Genomic DNA, 19,676 nt, shown 5'->3' on the forward strand with positions numbered 1-19,676 from the left:
TAAAATGTCATTCCAGGCTTGAGATTTCTCTCTGCAGTGAAGCTCAAAAGTCTTTCCTTTAATCAGACTGAATAAAATCCGGTTGACCTACTTTCAAATTCACCAGAAGGACTGGAACTATTTTGCTGAGGTCCCTTCCTTAATTATTATATTACTTACCTATTTCTATGTAACAAATTGTTCCCAGACTTAGTAGTTTACAATAACAATATACATTTATTATTTAACAATCCCTATGGGCCAGGAATTTGGGAGCAGTTTGGCTGTGTGGTTCTGGCTTAAGATCGCTAATGAGGTTGCAGTCAAGATATTCGCAGAGGGACAGTGCCTACTCCTAGTTACTCATTCACGTGCCTGACTGTCAGGAGGTCTCAGTTCCTTGCCATGCAACCCTCTATATAGAGCTGCATTCACGTCCTTACAACATGGCAGTTGGTTTCTCCAGAGCAAGTGATCCATTGAGTGTTACATATCTTAGCCTTGGAAGTCACTACCATTTTCTTTTGGTTACACAGGTCAGCTCAATTCAGTATGGGAGGGAATCACACAAGGGTGGGCCTACAAGGTGGCAGGGATCATTGGAGGCCATCTTAGGAGCTGACAACCCCAACTATGAAATTCTGATGACCCATATGTATTAGTATGCTAGTGCTGCCATAATAAACTACCACAGATTGGATGACTGTAACAACAGAAATTGTTTTCCTCACAATTCTGGAGGCTAGAAGTGTAAAATCAAGGTGTTGGCAGCATTGGTTGCTTCTGAAGCCTCTCTCCTTGACTTGTAAATGGTCTTCTCTCGGCGTCTTCACAAGGTCTTTCCTCTGTGTTTCTGTATCCTAATCTCTTCTTCTTATAAGAACACCAGTTACACCCACCTTAATGTCTTCATTTTAACTTTATTACCTCTTTAAACCCCTAACTCCTACTACAGTCACATTCTGAGGTAGTGAAGATTAGGACTTCAACATGTAAATTTGGAGGAGTGTGCACACTTTGGGAGATACAATTCAGTCATAATATCCTGTTATCCATCACCTTCTTTACTACAGGTGTTCTCTGTTCTTGGTCTTGTAAAATAAAACATTCACACTGTGTACTCAGGAATTCCATGTACCTTTTAACAAATAGTGTGCAAATAACCATTTCTTATCTATCCTACATAGGCTTCATAGGACAAGTTCTGAGAAGGTAAGTACTAACGTCAAATTCCTTCTCATGAACAGCAGTTCTCCCTCTGTGATCTGGGTCCTGATGACAGCGCCAACCTATGCGCCAACCATGCCACTCCACCTGCTGGCTCCATTCTAGCCTCTTTGCTGCACCTCTAATGTGCCAGGCTTGGCGCCCTGCAGGGCCTTTGCTAATGCTGTTCTTTGCATTGTTCTTCTGCTATATTGCAGCTGACTAACTCACCTATTCAGGACTCTGCTCCATAAATGGCTCCTCTTCAGAGAGGCCTTCCTTGACCACACACTCTGTTACAATCTTTCTCATCCTCCCCAGTTATTCTCCAGAAGTTTACCCTGATTTGTCAACATTGCATATGTCACTATTTGAAACTGTATTATGCATTTTTTACGCTTTATTGTCTGTCTCCCACACTAGACCATGAGGCCCATGATCATGGAGACTTTCTCCTGTTCACTATGTATCCCCAGTGCCTAGTACATACTGGGTAATCAATATATTTATTTATTGAATAAATGAACAAATGACTATATCAATTAGGTTAATCTGGGCAGTCTGACAGATGGAACAGATAACAATTAAGATAGTGTCTATGTTTTATGAGCTATATCTTCCAGAGTTTCTGATCACTAATAGGATACATTTTTAGCTTTGGTGATATAATTTCAGTAAATTGCTTTAATTAAATTGGAAATTGGCAGTAAGTGTTTGTTTTCTTTAGATGTGGGACTCTGAGACTCAGATATTACATCTGCAATACTGCAAAGTCAAACACACAAATGGGTGCCAATCTGGATGTTTCCCAGAAATTCTCAATATTGAAAATCTCCAGTTTCTAGACTTGCAAAGGGCTCTCTGTTGATGCATATTGCTTCTGTATTATCCCAAGCTATCCATGATGGTAGAAAATAATTCTTTATTCTCATGAGATACTACATATGCCTAGGATCGAGCTTACAAAATGCTTCATAACTTACTTTATTTGTTGTACATTAATTTCTTACCTGAAAGGCAAATTGTGGGCCTGTAGAATAATTTGTACCTATGGTGGTAACAAAAGTTTCAGTAGCTCCACAATTTTCTATGGTCTACCAATGTCATATAATAAGTTAACAGGCATAACCTACAAAAACCACTGCCAGGGATACGTAAATTAACTGTCTCCATTCTCAAATGTGTTGTCTATTGTGTGTTGTGGAAATGCCTTTTGGCTGAAATTTAGAGCTCCTGATTTCTAGTGTTAGATCCACAACTTTCCCCATGTATGGATTGTGGTAAGTCATTTAAATTCTCTGGACATTAGTTTTCTTATCAGTAAATTAAGGTGTGATTTTTCAATCTACACTCTATACTGTTTCTTTTAATTCTAAAATCTTATAATTTCCATCTCCTCTTCCTCTTCCCTCTTCTCCCCTCCTTTCTCCCCACACCACCCTCTACCCGCCCCACATTTGCAGAAGGAAATAAAAAGTAGTAGCAGGAAAAGTTTAGGAAAAGCAATGGTAAGTATATAGTCTTATTTCACTTAATAGGAATCAAAAGAAAGGTACTTTACTATGCATACCTCCTCAGCTGCTGTTCCCCAAACCTCCAGAGAATCCTCTGGGAATGAATGATCACACTTCAGGTCATAAGAGATAAGATACACCTCTGTTTACTGTCCAAACTGAAAGAAATTATGCACCACTCCCTTCAATAAATACATCTGCTAAGATAAATGTAGGCATGTGCTTTTAAACCTATACATATGCAGGACACATATGTAGGTATATGAAAAATAAAACAAGCTGGGTGCAGTGGCTCACGCCTGTAATCCCAGCACTTTGGGAGGCAGAAGTGGGCAGATAACCTGAGGTCAGGAGTTCGAGGCTAGCCTGGCCAACATGGCGAAACACTGTCTCTACTAAAAACACAAAAATTAGCCAGTCGTGATGGTGGGTGCCTGTAATCCCAGCTACTTGGGAGGCTGAGGCATAAGAATCGCTTGAACCTGGGAGGCGGAGGCTGCAGTGAGCCGAAATCGCACCACTGTACTCCAGCCTGGGCGATAGAGCAAGACTCCATCAAAAAAAAAAAAAAAAGGGGGGGGGAAAAAAAGAAAGGAAAGGGAAGGGGGATGGGGAAAGGGGAAAGGAAAAGGAAAAGAAGAAAAGGAAAATTATCTGCTAAAATAAAGGCAGGTATAGTTTGGTGCTGTGCTGATATGTACAAGATACAGGTATAATCAAGCTGTGTTGTTTTGATAATTCAAAATTTTGATCAGAGACTTAATATGATAATCTTAAATCAAACATTGTTTTTTTTCTGAATGAAATGATGATACTATGAACACAGTTCTAAAGTATGACCAATATGACCTCAACATTTTCCTACATCATATCCATTAGAAATATTCCCTTCTTGGGATTTTAAATAGTCTCTTTATCCAGGCACCTTGTTTCAGAAACCTGCTTTATTTTCCTACAAGGTGGCTGAGGGGAAAAAAGGGTGTGGATAGCAACAGAAAACCCACATTTTCTACTTATCATTTATTAGATGGTCTGGAAAATGAATTTCATTTAAGTCCTGAGTACTGCTGACAGGATTTAATTTTTTTAAAGTTTTGATACCATTTTCAATATAATTATTACTCTCCCAAGCAGAAATATCAAAACACTTCTAAAAAGTGCTTGGCAGATTTTCAGCTTCATATTTCTCCTTAGAGAGTGTCTCAGTCTGTTTTGTGCCGCTGTAACAGAATATCTGAACTGGGAAATTTATGAAGAATAGAAATTTATTTCTCATAGTTCTGGAGGCTGAGATGTCCAAGATCGAGGCACTGGCATTTGGTCTAGTGAGGGCCTTCTTGCTGCTACCTTACGTGACAGAAAACAGAAGGGCAAGCTAGCTAAATGCTGCATGAAGCCTCTTTTATAAGGGCCTTAATCCTGTTAATTAGGAAGATTCCCTCATAGTCCTCATTCCTTCATAAAGGCCCTACATCTTAATACTATTGCATTGGCAACACCTGAATTTTGGAGGGGACACATTCTAACTACGGCAGAGGGTACAGCGTGTATCTGTCAAACTTCTGATTGTTCACTACAATGAAGAATTGGCTGAAATTCAACTTTTTTTTCAAATCAAAGTAACACCTCTTCTGCATTTCTAAAAAGTAGTTTTTTTTCTATGAAAAAACGCAGCATTATTAAATTATTAGGACATCCATTTTCTTCTCAGTAAATCTACTTTTATTCCATCTCACATAGATCATGAATAAGGCCTGTCAGAGGTGATGCTTGATTTTTCAAAGATTAAGTCTGGCTTCCTTCCCTACACATCATTCTCTAACTCAGGTGAAATTGTAACTCTCTCTGCCTACTCCAAGTGATACACACACTGATGTCAGATAAGTTATCAATTCACCCACAGGGAAAGAAGTTCAGAGTGGAGCCAGGCTATGGTGCCCCCCTACTTTATTTTAGGGAGCCCTCAGTTAATTTTGGCCAGCCCTCTTCCTTATCTCTCAGGTTGCAGTTCTTCTCAAGCTCCCACTGCTCCAAAATGAACTTTTTTCTTCATCAGTATCTACGGACTAAGGAAACAGTCTTCCTGGAATGTTTATGATGAAATATTATCAATATAAAATTTGATGTGATGCATCTTTATCCTTCAAAGGCCATTTACTTGTTAACAAGGTCTTATCATTGTAATGCATTTGTAACTGCTAGAACTTTAAGCATTCAGGCCATGTGAAGGTTGTCAAGAAAACTTATGAATACATTTAAGGGTAAGGGGGATTTCTTGGTGCTATTTAAATCACATCATACAAGCAACCATCTACCCTTCACCTGTGGAAGGCATTTGAGCTTTCTCTCTCCCTAGTACACCTCAAGAATACTCATGTTAGTTTTGGATAATACTTTTGAAAAATCGCCAACCCTTGTCCTAAGAGGTATTAATATTCTTGACATAGTACTCTTCCAACTCTACCTGCTGTCACCAAAATACATATCTCAGACTGAAATATTCCAAAGGTGCACATGACTGTGTCAGATCAAATGCATCTCTTGTTCTTGAGATCACCTTCCCTACCTCCTTCCCTTGAAGAAGGAAAAAAACAAACAAACAAAAAAAAACAGCATTTTAAAACTCTGGTACCACAAATCCAATGCGGAACATTTAATATTTCATGCAGTGAAATTTAGCAACATTAATACATTTTTAGTGATATAATTTCCCAAGCCAAAATAGAAGAACAAGTTTACTAGTACAATTTTTGCTGTGTTTTGAAAAGTTTCTCACAGGTAAACACTTCAAAACTCATAGTTCCTGCAATTTAAATACTTTAGGGCACTTCCGAATTCTTAAAAATATTAAATTACATCCACTATAGTTCAATATTCTATAGGAAAATATACATTATTTTCAAAAATTAAGTCTGGCTTCCTTCTCTACACATCATTCTCTAACTCTAACGGGTGAAATTATAACTCTCTCTGCCTGCTCCAAGTAATACACACAATGATCCGAGTAGTTTTTTAATCATTAAAGAATATTTTGAAAATAATAAACTTCACTAAAAGTATTAGCAGACATTTAAAACAAAACCACCTTTTTACCTCAAAAGTCATGAGCCAAAACAGGGAGTACCTTACAGAAAATATTTGCCTGTTTCATGTGATGTAAACTCAGAACATAACTCAATAGAAAATGCAATATACCATTTAAATTGTAGTATTATTCCTTAGAAAAGTACTACAATATGTGCTTCTTAGAATTAGTAACTTATTAAATGGGCTTTCTTTTTTGTCTTAAAAAAGGGAAATTAAATAGGAATGCGGAAAACATGCTTTCATGTAAGTTATTGACTCCAAGTACTTAAGTGTACCAAATATAAAAGTTGGACATTGAAACTAATTTATATCACTACCCTAGAGCCTCATGAATTGGAATTTTCAAAGACTGCCTATTTAGGTCTTTGTTGAAAAAAAGGAATTTCATTAGAAAATGGAATTAATTAGGGCAGCCTGTGGAATTTATTCACAACATTTGCAACCTAAGAATTTATTCGCTTGAAAGGTTTCGTTCTTTTGTCAAGGATTAACTAAAGAGAACCTATGGCATCTAAATATAGCTGAGAGGGATAATTTAGTGCATCTTGAAATTTATTACATAAATGTAGTTTCTTTTCCTCTGGAACTAGATGAGATTTATATGTACCAGTTTTTGCACCCATGCCAGATTCTTTAAAGCATATGTTGTAAATTAAAACAATTTTTTATTTTAACATTGAATAATTATTTTGATTGTTAGGGAAATGTTAAGTTATTGTGATAATCTTCAAAATGACCATTAGAAGAGAGATTAGCTAGATTACAAGTTCCTGGAGGGCAAGAATTATGCTGTGTTCATCTTTTTATCCCTGGTGTTCCATTTACTAGAGTAAGCAATAAACAAGTGTTGTCTTGAGTGAGTTAAAGAATAAATGTATTATAACTCTAACCATGACTATTAGCAACAGGATACATTATTATTACCAAATAGCTTTGCTCATTAGTTTGATATATTTTATCCAAGTCTATATTAACTCTGATACAAATAGTCCATGAAAGTGTCAATACAACTTTAAATGTTTGCATCAAATAGCCAGAATCGTTTAAAATAGCAACAAATATATCTTCTCTTGTTGGAACAAAGATAGCAATTTGTAAAAAAAGTTATTTTAAGACTTTTATAAAAATATTTTTAGTGGTGAGTTAGATTCACGGAGAGAGGTTGCAAGAGAGAAGGATAACCATATTCAGGGAGAAAACCAAAACAAAAGAAAACAGGAGTCTGCACTCTACCCATCCTAGGATTAGTCTGCTAAAAGGAATTCATAGAGTAGTATCTAGGTCATGCCAGGGATAAAATTTTAATTGAACTCTTTTGGCTCCTTGTAGGATACCAAATTTTTTATGTTAAAAATTTCCTACTATGTAGATTGTGCTTTATATTATTAGTCAATCACTACAACTCTTACGAACATTATGTTCCTTTAAAAACCATTCTTTTTGTTCCAAATACATAAAAAGCTTTTAAAATGCTCTCAGTTAGTTGGCTTCCAACAGAAAAGCAAGTAAAGAAAAATAACTTAAAATTTTCACTTCTTTGTAGGATTTAAAGCTAATAGCACAAATCTAATAGTTCGTCTAAGTGCAACATCCTCCAAACAGACCTTGAACCTCAGGTAATCGCACACTCACCAGTTTTCCTGTTTCACACCTCTGAATTTAAAATCTTCTCTGGTGGTAAAGACTGGCAAAGCTGCCTAAGCTTTTCTGGCTTATGCACTTCGTAGCTCCTTTCACTATGGTCCTGGCCTTTCTTAACTGAATCTAGCCAAAAATTCAGTTGGTTCAATTAACCATCATTCTCAGCAAACTATCGCAAGGACAAAAAACCAAACATCGCATGTTCTCACTCATAGGTGGGAATTGAACAATGAGAACACATGGACACCGGAAGGGGAACATCACACACCGGGGCCTGCCGTGGGGTGGGGGGAGGGGGGAGGGATAGCATTAGGAGATATACCTAATGTTAAATGACGAGTTGATGGGTGCAGCACACCAATATGGCACATGTATACGTATGTAACTAACCTGCATGTTGTGCACATGTACCCTAAAACTTAAAGTATAATTTAAAAAAAAATTCTGAAATCTGCAACCATGTAACATTCTTCACAGAATAAATGAGAATTCTATTCCGTAACATATTAATGCTTCATAAGCTTACTAATCTGACATACTATAAAACCTAAACTCATCCTGCAAAAAAAATCATAGAAATACATTAAGTGATACATGCAGATCCACTTTACAATGAAAGGTTTAAGAGATAGACTAATGTAGACTTTGTGCAAATTAATATCCCTTCTAATTATTCCTAGGCAAAAATACAGCTCATGTGACTTTATTTGGGACATTCATTTAATTAGATATCCAGCAGCAATGGTCATTGTGCCAGTGGGCACAGAGAATCAGAATGACTGAGATATATTATTGCTTTTGGAAGGAGGTTTTAAGACAAAAACACATTTGCATAAGTGTTAACTTGGGAAATCACTGCCCCTCAATAGTTTTAAACAATGTTTTTGTAGCAGATAGATGGGTAAAGCAGTATTTTAGCCATAAGCTTCCATTGTTCTTCAGTAGGACAAAGTATCAGGCTATGCACAATGTATTCCTATGACACGGACAAGAAGCCGCAATTAAATCAAAGTACCTCCAGCTTAGGTCACTAACTGCGCAGATGTGGTTTCTTCACTGGCAGATGACGGCATGATCTACAGGGGGCAGAGTCCATGAAATAGTCAGTTAACTGAGGAAATGTCTAATTTCCCACAGAACACTCTGTATAACTACATGGCACTACTCTGAAAAGTCTCGGTCATGACCGGATTAGATGGTGAAAACAATCTGTTTATTTAGGCTTGACTTCTGTTAACAGAATGAAATGCCAATGGAAGAATTTAGATTTTGATGCAAAAACGCAAGTTGGCTACCTAAAAACTGGATTCTATAGTATTCAATTAGAACTTGGCAGAGAAAGATGTCTATTTACTACTATCACTATTATGGCTATTATTCCTGATATTAATATTGATGTTACTTTTATAAATATTATTAGTACTACTCCCATTACTACCACCATTACTATCATCATTGCCACAACTTCTTGCCTGGGCTTTTAGTCAGAGTCTTTTCCCTAATCTTCCTACTTTTATTCTTGGCCTTTTATCATCCATGACTGCCTTCATCACCTTTCATCATCCATTCTCCATATTTTAGCCAAATTGAGCTTTTAAAAGTGTGAATTAGATTATATCACGCCTCTGCTTACAACCTTCCAAGGACTCCCCATTGCCTCAAAGTAAAATGCATGCTGCTTATCCAGTTAAACATAAGTCATTTTGCCCTGTTTGCCCGATTTAATACCAAACCAGTGTAGCTGGGGTACATTGAAATCACTGTCCCCAGTGCCGCTTAGCTCATCTGTGCCCCAGAGCCAGAGCCAGAGACTTTGCACCTGTTTTGTGTTTTGTTTTGTTTGTTTCAGAGAGTCTTGCTCTGTTACCCAGGCTAGAGTACAGTGGCATGATCTCAGCTCACTGCAACCTCTGCCTCCCAGGTTCAAGTGATTCTCCTATCTCAGCCTCCCAAGTAGCCAGGATTACAGGCACCCGCAACTACGCCCAGCTAATTTTTGTATTTTTAGTAAAGATTGGGTTTCACCATGTTGGCCAGGCTGGTCTTGAACTCCTGACCTCAGCCTCTCAAAGTGCTGGGATTACAGGCATGAGCCATGGTACCCAGCCTGCACCTGCTATTCTCTTATTACCTGCCTTCATACAGAGGCTCCTTCCATCTGCTGTCATCTCCGCTGTGCAGCTGTCACCTCCTGGAAGAGTGTCTTCCTGACTGCATGGTGCTGCCCTGCCAGGCTCTGGCATATCATTTCATTTTTATGTATTGCCTTTGGTATTACTTGCAACTTTTCCTTTTCTTTAAGTCTTTACTGTCTGTCTCTCTGAGATGTAACCTTTATGAGAGCAGGAATCTTATCTGTCTTTTTATGTAAAATCATGCTTATGCATTGTAAGTACTCAATAAATATATTTTAAACAAATGAATAGAAGAATAAATTATTATTATTAGCAAGACCTTATATTCACTGATCACTTACTAAACAGCAATGTGCTGTAATCACATTAGCCTAATTAACCTACACTGTCAATGTGTAAGAGAAGAAAGCATTAATAACACATGCAGGGGCTAGGGAAGATGCACACATCTTAAGTTTAAATATTCAAAAGTTATAAACAAAGCCAATGGGCTGTTATATAAAATACGTACTCTAAAATACAGACTTTACCCTTGTCAAATATACCTCCATAGAAACATATAAGATCATGTTTGATTTTAAGTTCTTGAATTCCTCTCTTTGTCCCACACTGCAGGGGACATCAGGTGAACAGGCTGTGAACCTCCAGTTCACATGTCTTAGATTAAGGCACATCACTTCAAACAGCCATCTCGAGACAACAGTTTGTGCCTGTGGCCTACGTATAGTAAGGCAAGCTGTGGAAGGAGGCCCGTGAAGATACTAGAAGTGGGAACAAGGGCATTTAGACAAAAGGTCCCAGGAATCCAGGGCTTGTCCTCAAAGGGGAGGTACAGGCAACAGTTAAGCACATTCCCGTAGCAGCATGAACTCCTCATCTTATAAGAAAAGAGGTGGTCAGAGGGAGGCCAGAGTAGAGCTTTCTAAAGCATGGGGTCGGGAGCTGGGGTCCCTTTGACCTGAGTCTAAAAATAAAACTAACTCCACACTCTGAGCCTCAATAATTTGAGCCTCAAATGAGTGAGTGGCAGCATCAGATTTCTAATGCAGCCATTCTGATTCCAGTGCTCATACTCTCAGCACTCTGCCAACCTTCTTCATAACATGGGAAACACAAAACATGACAATATTTGTGGTACATATTGGGGAAAATCCTCTAAGTCACCCTTGAGGTGACTTGAGGGATAAAGGAATCAGTATCTAAACACATCAAAAACCCATTGGGAACCAACCAGTACATTGGACATTAGAAAGCTGTACACTGTACTTTACTTTTTATTCCAAATTTCATAAAATTATTAAGATCCATTCAAACATAAGCCAGACTATTTGGATAACAGGCAATTTCTTTCCAGCAAATGTTGAATTCCTGATATGTGTAAAGCGCTTTGCTAGGTGCTTGGGGCAGGGAAGTGGGAAGAAAATACCACCTAATGGGAAAAATGCAAATAAACCACAGGCTACAATAAAAAGCAGGATAAGTGAAGGATTTGATAGCACTATACGGAATTTAGTTTAGTAGTACAGAGAATGACTGGTTAATTCTTAGTGATAGATTAGGGGAAGAGGGTTGCCAGAATCCAGATGGTATTCAAAATGGAACTTGAAAGATAAATAGGCTTTAACAGCACAGGCTGGTGGGGAGGACATTTGGGGTTGCTCGAACAACATGAACGGAGACAGGACAATCATGACAATTTCACTGCTTGGCACAGCATTGGCAAGTCCAAGATGGCTAAATCAAAGACTATTCTAGGAGAAACATGTAGAAAGGTGGTTTTGTGTCAGATCAAGGAGGAGTATAAATACAAAGAAGAGGCTGGGTATGGTAGCTCATGCCTGTAATCCCAGCACTTTGGGAGGCCAAGTTGGGTGGATCACCTGAGGTCAGGAATTTGAGACCCCAAACATGGCGAAACCCCATCTCTACTAGAAATACAAAAAATTAGCCGGGTGTGGTGGCATGCACCTGTTATCCCAGCTACTTGGGAGGCTGAGACAGGAGAATAGCTTGAACCCAGGAGGCGGAAGTTGCAGTGAGCCAAGATCACGCCACTGCACTCCAGTCTGGGTGAGAGAGCGAGACTCCATTTCAAAAAAAAAAAAAAAATACAGTGAAGAGACATCTGAACTTCTTTCTTTAGATATTTAGAGCGGCAATGAAGGAATGAATGCTCTTGAAGCAAGGTGTAACATAATTACAATTGTTTTAAGAACTAAGCTGAGAGAATTTATAAGAATAAATTAGTAGTAAGGACGTACAAGTGGGATAGGCTTTAACCAGGGCAGTAGTGGTGGAAATGAAATAACTAAATAGAAGAACTGTGGAGAAGTTGAATGAACAGGAATGGCTTGATACAGACAAGCCCACTTGATAAGGGACTTTGGAAAAGGGCTGATTGTGATTTAAATGTGTCATGATTTGAATGTGGATAACTAAAGGATTGTGGCTTAAAAGCTCAGGAGACAGGAACAGATGTCAAAGACACAGAGTTTGTGGCTAACATTGGAAAACAGGAGGACTCAAGTGCCCCAAAGAGGGGAGGAACAGAAGAGAGATTTATAAAAGAGAAGAAAAGATAAGGATATCTGATGAAGTTAAAGGAGAATGGCTTTTTTATTTTGTCAGTGAAGCAAAACCCAGGGTCATTAGTTAAGAAAGGAGGGATTGGAGTATGATTGGAATTTTACATGTTTTACAACTTTTAAAATTACACAATGGTACTTGGATTGGGGGTTTGGGAAGTGGACTGCTGCACAGTTTGACTCCTTATTTGGTGGTCTAACCTTCCCTTTATGGGATCCAATAATGGGTACAAAAGCAATTCAAGGAAATATTAGTCCTAACAAGATCATAGTTTCACAAGAATGTTTTATGTTCATCTCCAGGGCTTTTTAAGTGATTTTAAAAATTTTTTTCAAATCATTTGTACTTTAGAAAACAATTAGAAAAGAAAAGGCATGTATGCCAAGTCTCCAAACAAGACAGGTCACATTTTAGATTTGTGAATGGACAAAATCAATGAAATCAAGAGTAGAACAGTCAACAGACCATTTTACACAAACTCAATAAAATTATTTAAGGTGTGTCCCCTTCACACATTTTAGCACATGGTTCCGGAAAATGAGATGTTTCACCAGGCCCTTCAGTTCTGGCCATAATATAAAATGGATTGAGACTTTTAACTAAAAGGAAAAAGAAAAGCAAACAATGGCTTTAACAAACAGTACCCAGAATTGAATTGGCCCTGTTTAATAGCCCTTTATACAAATAACTCGTTTCACAAAATTAACTGGCATTCGCATACAATTTTATCAACCTACTTTTAGGATATGAATAATAACAGGATTTACTTTGCCATCTCAAAATTGTCCTCTGTAAATTCACACAGTTCTAATTTACCTACCCTAATATCAGGAAGATTTAGTTATACGACACTTTAATTAGTGCTTTCACTGTACTTGGTAGTTAGTTACTACCATTTTAGCCTCTTCAGGTTTTGTGTGTACATGTAATTCCAGTGTATCACAAAGCAAATATAGATTACTGAAAGGTTACCTCTCAGAATATTTAATAAAGCTAAAAACTAGCAAAATGGAAACTATTTCAAACCCCAGACTGTTAAAGTGCTAGATTCAGGGAACAGAGTCTACTGAGCTCCAAAAGTCTAAAATTACTTTAGCAAAGGACAACAGTGGCAGTGGAGAGGGATAAGATAACTGAGAGGGTCTTGAACTCCTAACCTTAGGTGATTTGCCTGCCTCAGCCTCCCAGTGTGCTGGGATTACAGGCCTGAGCCACCTGACCAGCCTGACCAACATGGTGAAATACTGTCTGTACTAAAAATACATTAATTAGCTGGGCGTGGTGGCACATGCTTGTAATCCCAGTTACTCAGGAGATTGAGGCAGGAGAATCGCTTGAACCTGGGAGGTGGGGGTTGCAGTAAGCCGAGATCATGCCTCTGCACTCCAGCCTGGGTGATAGAGTGAGACTCTGTCTCAAAAAAAAAAAAAAAAAAAAAATTAACAATAATAATAGTTGAGAGGGTGAATCAATAGGAATTGGCAAGTCATTGCATACTGAGTAAAGGAAAGGGTCAAAAATCAGTACAAAGTGCCTAGCCTAGGTGACTTGGGAGAAGAAACTGGATGACAAAGCTCAAAAGAGTCAGGAGAGGAAGGAATAAAAAATACCAGGGGGGAATTTGCACTGGAAGGGAGAAGAGGTATTCCATCCTCAGAAATAGAAGGGAAGGAGGAGGAACTCAGAGATGTCAAAGAGAAGATTAGTTGATGAAATTCATATGAGCTGAACTTTTATTTTCTCAGTGATACTAGGTAATCAGCTCAGGGCAAGGGAAGAGCTCCCGTGGGCAATGGGATACTGGAATACCAGATCAGACTCCTTTCTGCTGCTTAGTCATTAGTGATGGTCTAGAATTATCATCCCAGGCAGAAATATGAGATCCAACAATCATGAAATAGGGTTTAAAACAAGGAGGTCCAGAGACTTAAATTTATATTTTATAACAAATGATCTATTTTACTAGCTAAAGTGAAGGCCTTAAAATAGGTGTAATAGTGAAATATTTGAGGAGACAAAAAAGACCAGCCTTGCTAGGCTGACAGCACAATGTCAAAAGCTGATAGACTGTCCTTCTCAGGGTCTTCAATCCAAGAACATTGAAATGATTGAGATTTTAAGTACATCTCACTCTCTTTTGATAACTGAACTTGTTCAAGCTCTTCCAAACCTCCAATAATTGGAAACGTAAGGCATCAGAAATTACTGGTTGTCAGTCTGAAACCCATTCACCCTTCTTACATGTTTTCCTTTGGAAAATTCTCCCACTATGTGACTTAGTAAACTGAATAGTCTAAGCAATCATAAAAATCAAATTCCTTCACTATGGATTGGTTTAGACAGAAGTGTTCAACCAACTCTGGCCAATGAGACCCGAGGGAGTTGGCTGCAGGGCCTCTGGGTATGGTAAGGTGGTTTCTTCTTCCTCTGGACATTCTGATATTTGAATGTGACTCCTAGAAATATACAATCACATGGTGACCATGAAGGAACACACCAGGGGACAAAGCTAACAGACTGGGGATGATGGAAGCGAAGACAGAAAGGATATCTTTTAGACTCTACGTTAACCAACTTGGAACCATCATATCTCAGTCCTTCTTTTTAGGTGAGAGAACATATTTTTCCTCATATTTTAATTTTGTTGAGGTTTGTTATTTGTTGCAAATCCTGTCTTAACTGATTTAAGGTGGCCAGAGGAGAGATAAAGTCCCCTTTTCCAGCTATTCACAACTTACTCTTGTTGTCTGCTTGATCTTCCCAGTCAGCCAAGACACTTTTAACAGAGCCCTGGTGTGTTATAATGTACGTCCAACTATTGTTACACATGTACGTAACTACTTATGATTGTCAACCTCCCTGAGCATCATGATCATAAATAAAAGTTCTGTGTTTTGTGGAAGCAGGGGTTTTGAAAGAAGTGAGCTTTATGGCTCAAAACGTAACGACAAGCCACTTAAAGATATACAGATAAAAATCTTCATGAAGGAAGAAGAGGAAAACAGTTTTATTTCAAAACAGATAAATCTCTAATGAGCTTTAAGATATCTATGATTTGCTTTTAAAGAGCAGGCAATGAAAAAAGTGTTTCATCTGGAATATACTTCCTGACTTAAAAATAGCACTTGAAAAAATTTGCTCATTTCATTTGCAGACTGTTAATAGCAAAACTCATCTGGAGGATCTTTAAAATGCTCTGAAAGTAATCCCTGAAAGTATGGTCACCCAAAACTTTGTTTTATAAAATGCCAACCAAGGCTTCTCCATAAGGCCAAAACAAATAAGTTAATGAGAATATAACTAAATTCAGAAGAAAAATTACTAGCCCTTAAGAAAAATATATTTATTTGAAAATGTTCATTTACCTGCAAACACTATAAAACCAAACTCTACATTGGAGCTTTGATGTGATTGTATATTCTTATCATAAATATTTTTTAAAAATCAGAGGAAGTTACATAAGCAAAGGATGTATAAATAGTCTATTTTACTACAAAGAGTACAGCTTAAATGTTCCTATTTGGAATCATAATATAGTTCAGCAGCATAACACTACTGTGCAAGCTAATCATCAAGCCTTAAAAACATCACACATATACACACACAAATACGCTAACCAGTATTTTTGTCCCTTGAGATATATATATTTTCTCACAAATGTAAAGAAGCCTACACAGCTGTTTCCTTTAAAGATAAAAAGGGAAAAAAATTATTCTGCTGCAAAATACAACTAAAACAATTAGAATTAAAAAATGTTCACAACAAATATTTTTCAAAGGAATGTCCCAAAGACCTTCTCTTTAGTACACCCTACACATGACTGGTATCATAGTGGGAATCTACGAGATAGGAAAGAACTGCAGAACAGAAAGCAACGCAGACCTGGAACACAAAAAGAATTAAGATGAATGGGTCAGGAGATCTTGAAAACAACGGAGAGATGCCATCAAGTGGCTGAAGAAAGAATTCTTCACGTGGGATGGTTTTCCCAGACATCACCATCTGGTGGTCAATTGTGAGAATCATTTTAGACTGGTAAAACTGTACAATGTGAAATACTAGTCTTTCATGCAGTCCTTAATTTAAGGCTTGATAACTCCTCATTGACATTAAGAGAATACACTCCATTAACAATCTTTAAACACCATTTACATGACAGACTCATAAGGAATCATAAAATAGGAGTCACAATTCTACATAGGAGGGGAAGTACATTTAGAATTTGGCTTAAACAATTTTAGGGAACTTTTTTTCATAATAAATTCAAATTGAATAGCTATTTACAACTGTATTTAACTTGAAGCTATAATTTTTACCTTCCCTTCCCATATCTGTTGGCAGCCTAAAGTTGGGATCGTAAGTTTTTATTGTTATTGTTCTCATTTTGCTTTTTATTTTTACCTAAAATAGATCTTATAAATCATTTTATTTATGAATTCATTTATTTACATCTTCAAAAATTATTTTTGGACCATCTTCGTTGGACTGGGCACTGATTTAGGCACTGGTTATACAATGGTGAGCAAAATGGGCATACTGCTGTCCTTAAGCTTATAATCCAGTGTAGGTGACACACACTCAAGAAAAGTATTGGTTTACTCATTTGAAATCTATGTACTGAGTATATATTTCTTATGCCTTGTTCAGGGAGACATTAATGAGCAAAATAGATAAGGATTCCTAGTCTCAAGGAGCGCTTTGGATTATAAAGGAGGATGTGAACAAAGGTCGAGGGAAATGACACTGAACCTTTGATGTGAAACATGAGAAAGAGCCAGCAGTAAGAAGGGCAGGGGGCAGGAGCCAGAAGCAGAGGGATCAGGATTGCAGGTGCATATGCAAAGGTCCTAAGATTCATTGGGGGAGGGGAGGTAGGCAGAGTAGCTACAGGACAACGAACAAAGGGGAGAGTAAGATGACCTGGGACCAGAGAGGTAGGAGAGGATAGGTCATTGCAGAATGTTGTAGGTAATGGAAGAGAGGGGGTTTGATTTTCGGTTTAAGAGCAGTGGGAAGCCACTGAAAACATAGTCACAGGAGTGACATGATTTGCTTTGTTCCAAAAAGATCAGTTCAACTGCTTTTTGGAAGATGGATAGAGAAATGGATGGATGAATGGATGGATGGGAAGATAAGTATTCTTGTACTTTTAGAGAAAGTTTCCTTTTATTGTTTTTCTAAGAGAAAAATGAGTTTGATAACAATTTTCTGAAGCCATATCCCAAGACTTCTACCAGCTTCATTAATATTGGTGGATGGCATTTTTTGACCTGCAAGTATTCCTGATATACATTCTTGTGCTCAGGAAATCAGAAAATACAAAGATTAATGCTCACACTGCCTTATTCACCAGTTATAATTCTTCACTTCCTCATGTGAACTCCCCTATCATAGCATTAATCTTACCCTCTGATAAATTAACTTTGTTCTGAGTTCATCTTCTCTACAAGACTAAATGCTTATATCTTCTCTCATTTTTTTGCAATCCCATAATGCTGTCTTTCATTCTTGGGAGCTTTATCATAAATGTTTATTTAACTAAATAAAAAAATTATAGTTTAATATTAATTCATTGTACCACAGAATTTTAACTTTTAACATTAGAATACTCACTTCTCCAAAGGAATTTTTTTAATTTTTAGTTTTTAAACATGGGTACATAGGTATATATATGGGGCACATGAGATATTTTGATACAGGCATGCAATGTATAATAATCACAACATGGAAAATGGGTTATTCATCCCCTCAAGTATTTATCCTTTTTGTTACAAACAATCCAATTATACCCTTTTAGTTATTTTAAAATATACAATTAAATTATTTGGCTATAATCACCCTGTTGTGCTATAATAGGTCTTATTCATTTCTATTTTGTTTTTTGTACCCATTAACCATCTTCTCCTGCCCCCACCCTCCCACCATCCTCTCCACCTTCTGGTAACCATCCTTCTACTCTCTATCTCTGTGTGTTTAATTGTTTTGATTTTTAGTTCCCACAAATAAGTAAGAACTTATGTTTGTGTTTCTGTACCTGGCTTATTTCACTTAATATAACCACTTCCAGTTCCATCCGTGTTGTTGCCAATGATAAGATCTCATTCTTTTTTATGGCTGAATAGTATTCCATTTCCTTATTCATTCATGTGTTGATGGAGACTTAGATTGCATCCAAATCCTGGCTATTGTGAATAGTGCTGCAATAAACATGGGAGTGCAGATATCTGATATACTAATTTCCCCAAAGGAAAATTTAGATTGAAACCAATTTAACTTTTTTTTTTTAGGTTCTCTAATTATGGCCAATTGAGGTAGCATGTATGGTTCCTCATAAAATCTGCTGCTCAGCCCTTCAGACAAGGTGGATACAGCGTATCAGGGTAACACAGTGGTTTTTCGTGGACTGTTATTGGACATTCTGGGTTCTGTTCATTTCCTTTAAAGCCATGACACGTTTATCAGACATTGACATTGCTTTGTTCACCTTTCTAAAAATGACAGCTTATGATACAAACCGCCTCTGTCCCAACAAGTTCCTCCATCAACACAGAATTCTGCTGTGAAAGGCACTTTCCAGGACCAACTTATTTCTTCATAAAATTATGCAATTTTTATTAGGAGTAGGTTTCAGTGACTAAAATGCCCTGCATTCAGGGAGCTAAGAGGAGCCATGGGAGAAACAGCCCACAAAATAACGGGGAGATTTGCTATGGAACTTTCAAAAATAATAGAAAGACTTTTTCTTTCTTTTTTGTGACAGAGTCTCATTCTGTCACCTAGGCTGGAGTGCAGTGGAGCAGTCATGGCACATTGCGGCCTCGGCCTCCTTGGGCTTAAGTCAATCTCCCTCCTCAGCCTCCCAAGTAGCTGGGACCACAGGCATGCACACCTCGCCTGGCTAATTTTGTCTCTTTTTTTTTTTTTTTTTTTTTTAGAAGTGCAGTCTTTCAATGTTGCCCAGGATGGTCTTGAACTCCTGAGGTCAAGCAATCTGCCTGCTTTGGCCTCCTGAAGTGCTGAGATTACAGGCATGAGCCACCAAGCATGGCCAAGATTTCTTTCATTATGGAACTTGGCTGAGTTTTTCTGTCCAAATTTGATTCAACATCCTTTTGGCTCCTACAGAACCATGGATTTACCTTTACAGAATTACATTTGAAACTAGAGAGTAATGGTTTGTTCCATGTGTCTGTCTTTCTTATTGAAATGTAAGTCAGTGAGGGCAATTTCTTAATTTTCACATTTCTCACAGATGATTCATTGAAAGATGTCCAACAAATGTTTGATGGGTAAAGAAAAAAAATTCATCACTAGTTGAAAAGTTCTACTGACTCAAAGACAAATGTTTATAGTAAGGAAGAAACCATGCATTATGGCTTAGGTCAGTAACTATCAGGGGAATTTTGCTTTCCTGGGGGACATTTGGCAATATTTAAAGACATTTTTAGTTGTTGCAAGTGGGCACGTGTGTACTCCTGTCATCTAGTTGGTAGAGGCTAGAAATGCTGCTAACCATCATAACACCACA

At 37.6% G+C, this 19,676-nt stretch overlaps 1 protein-coding gene across 4 annotated transcripts in view, besides 1 other annotated feature; it reads right to left on the reverse strand.

Annotated features, from left to right (window-relative positions):
* The window catches only part of TRPM3 (transient receptor potential cation channel subfamily M member 3), a 917,912-nt gene that overhangs the window by 704,729 nt on the left and 193,507 nt on the right, over positions 1 to 19,676 (reverse strand). The window lies entirely within an intron of this gene.
* Positions 15,965 to 16,259: a silencer, noted in NCBI's record as "tiled region #9385; K562 Repressive DNase unmatched - State 12:CtcfO". NCBI's record gives its function as "represses a minimal TATA promoter and a strong SV40 promoter by Sharpr-MPRA in K562 cells {active_cell/tissue: K562}" and the evidence as "EXISTENCE:reporter gene assay evidence [ECO:0000049][PMID:27701403]".

Source organism: Homo sapiens, chromosome 9 (assembly GCF_000001405.40).
Source record: "Homo sapiens chromosome 9, GRCh38.p14 Primary Assembly".
Lineage (NCBI taxonomy): Eukaryota > Metazoa > Chordata > Mammalia > Primates > Hominidae > Homo > Homo sapiens.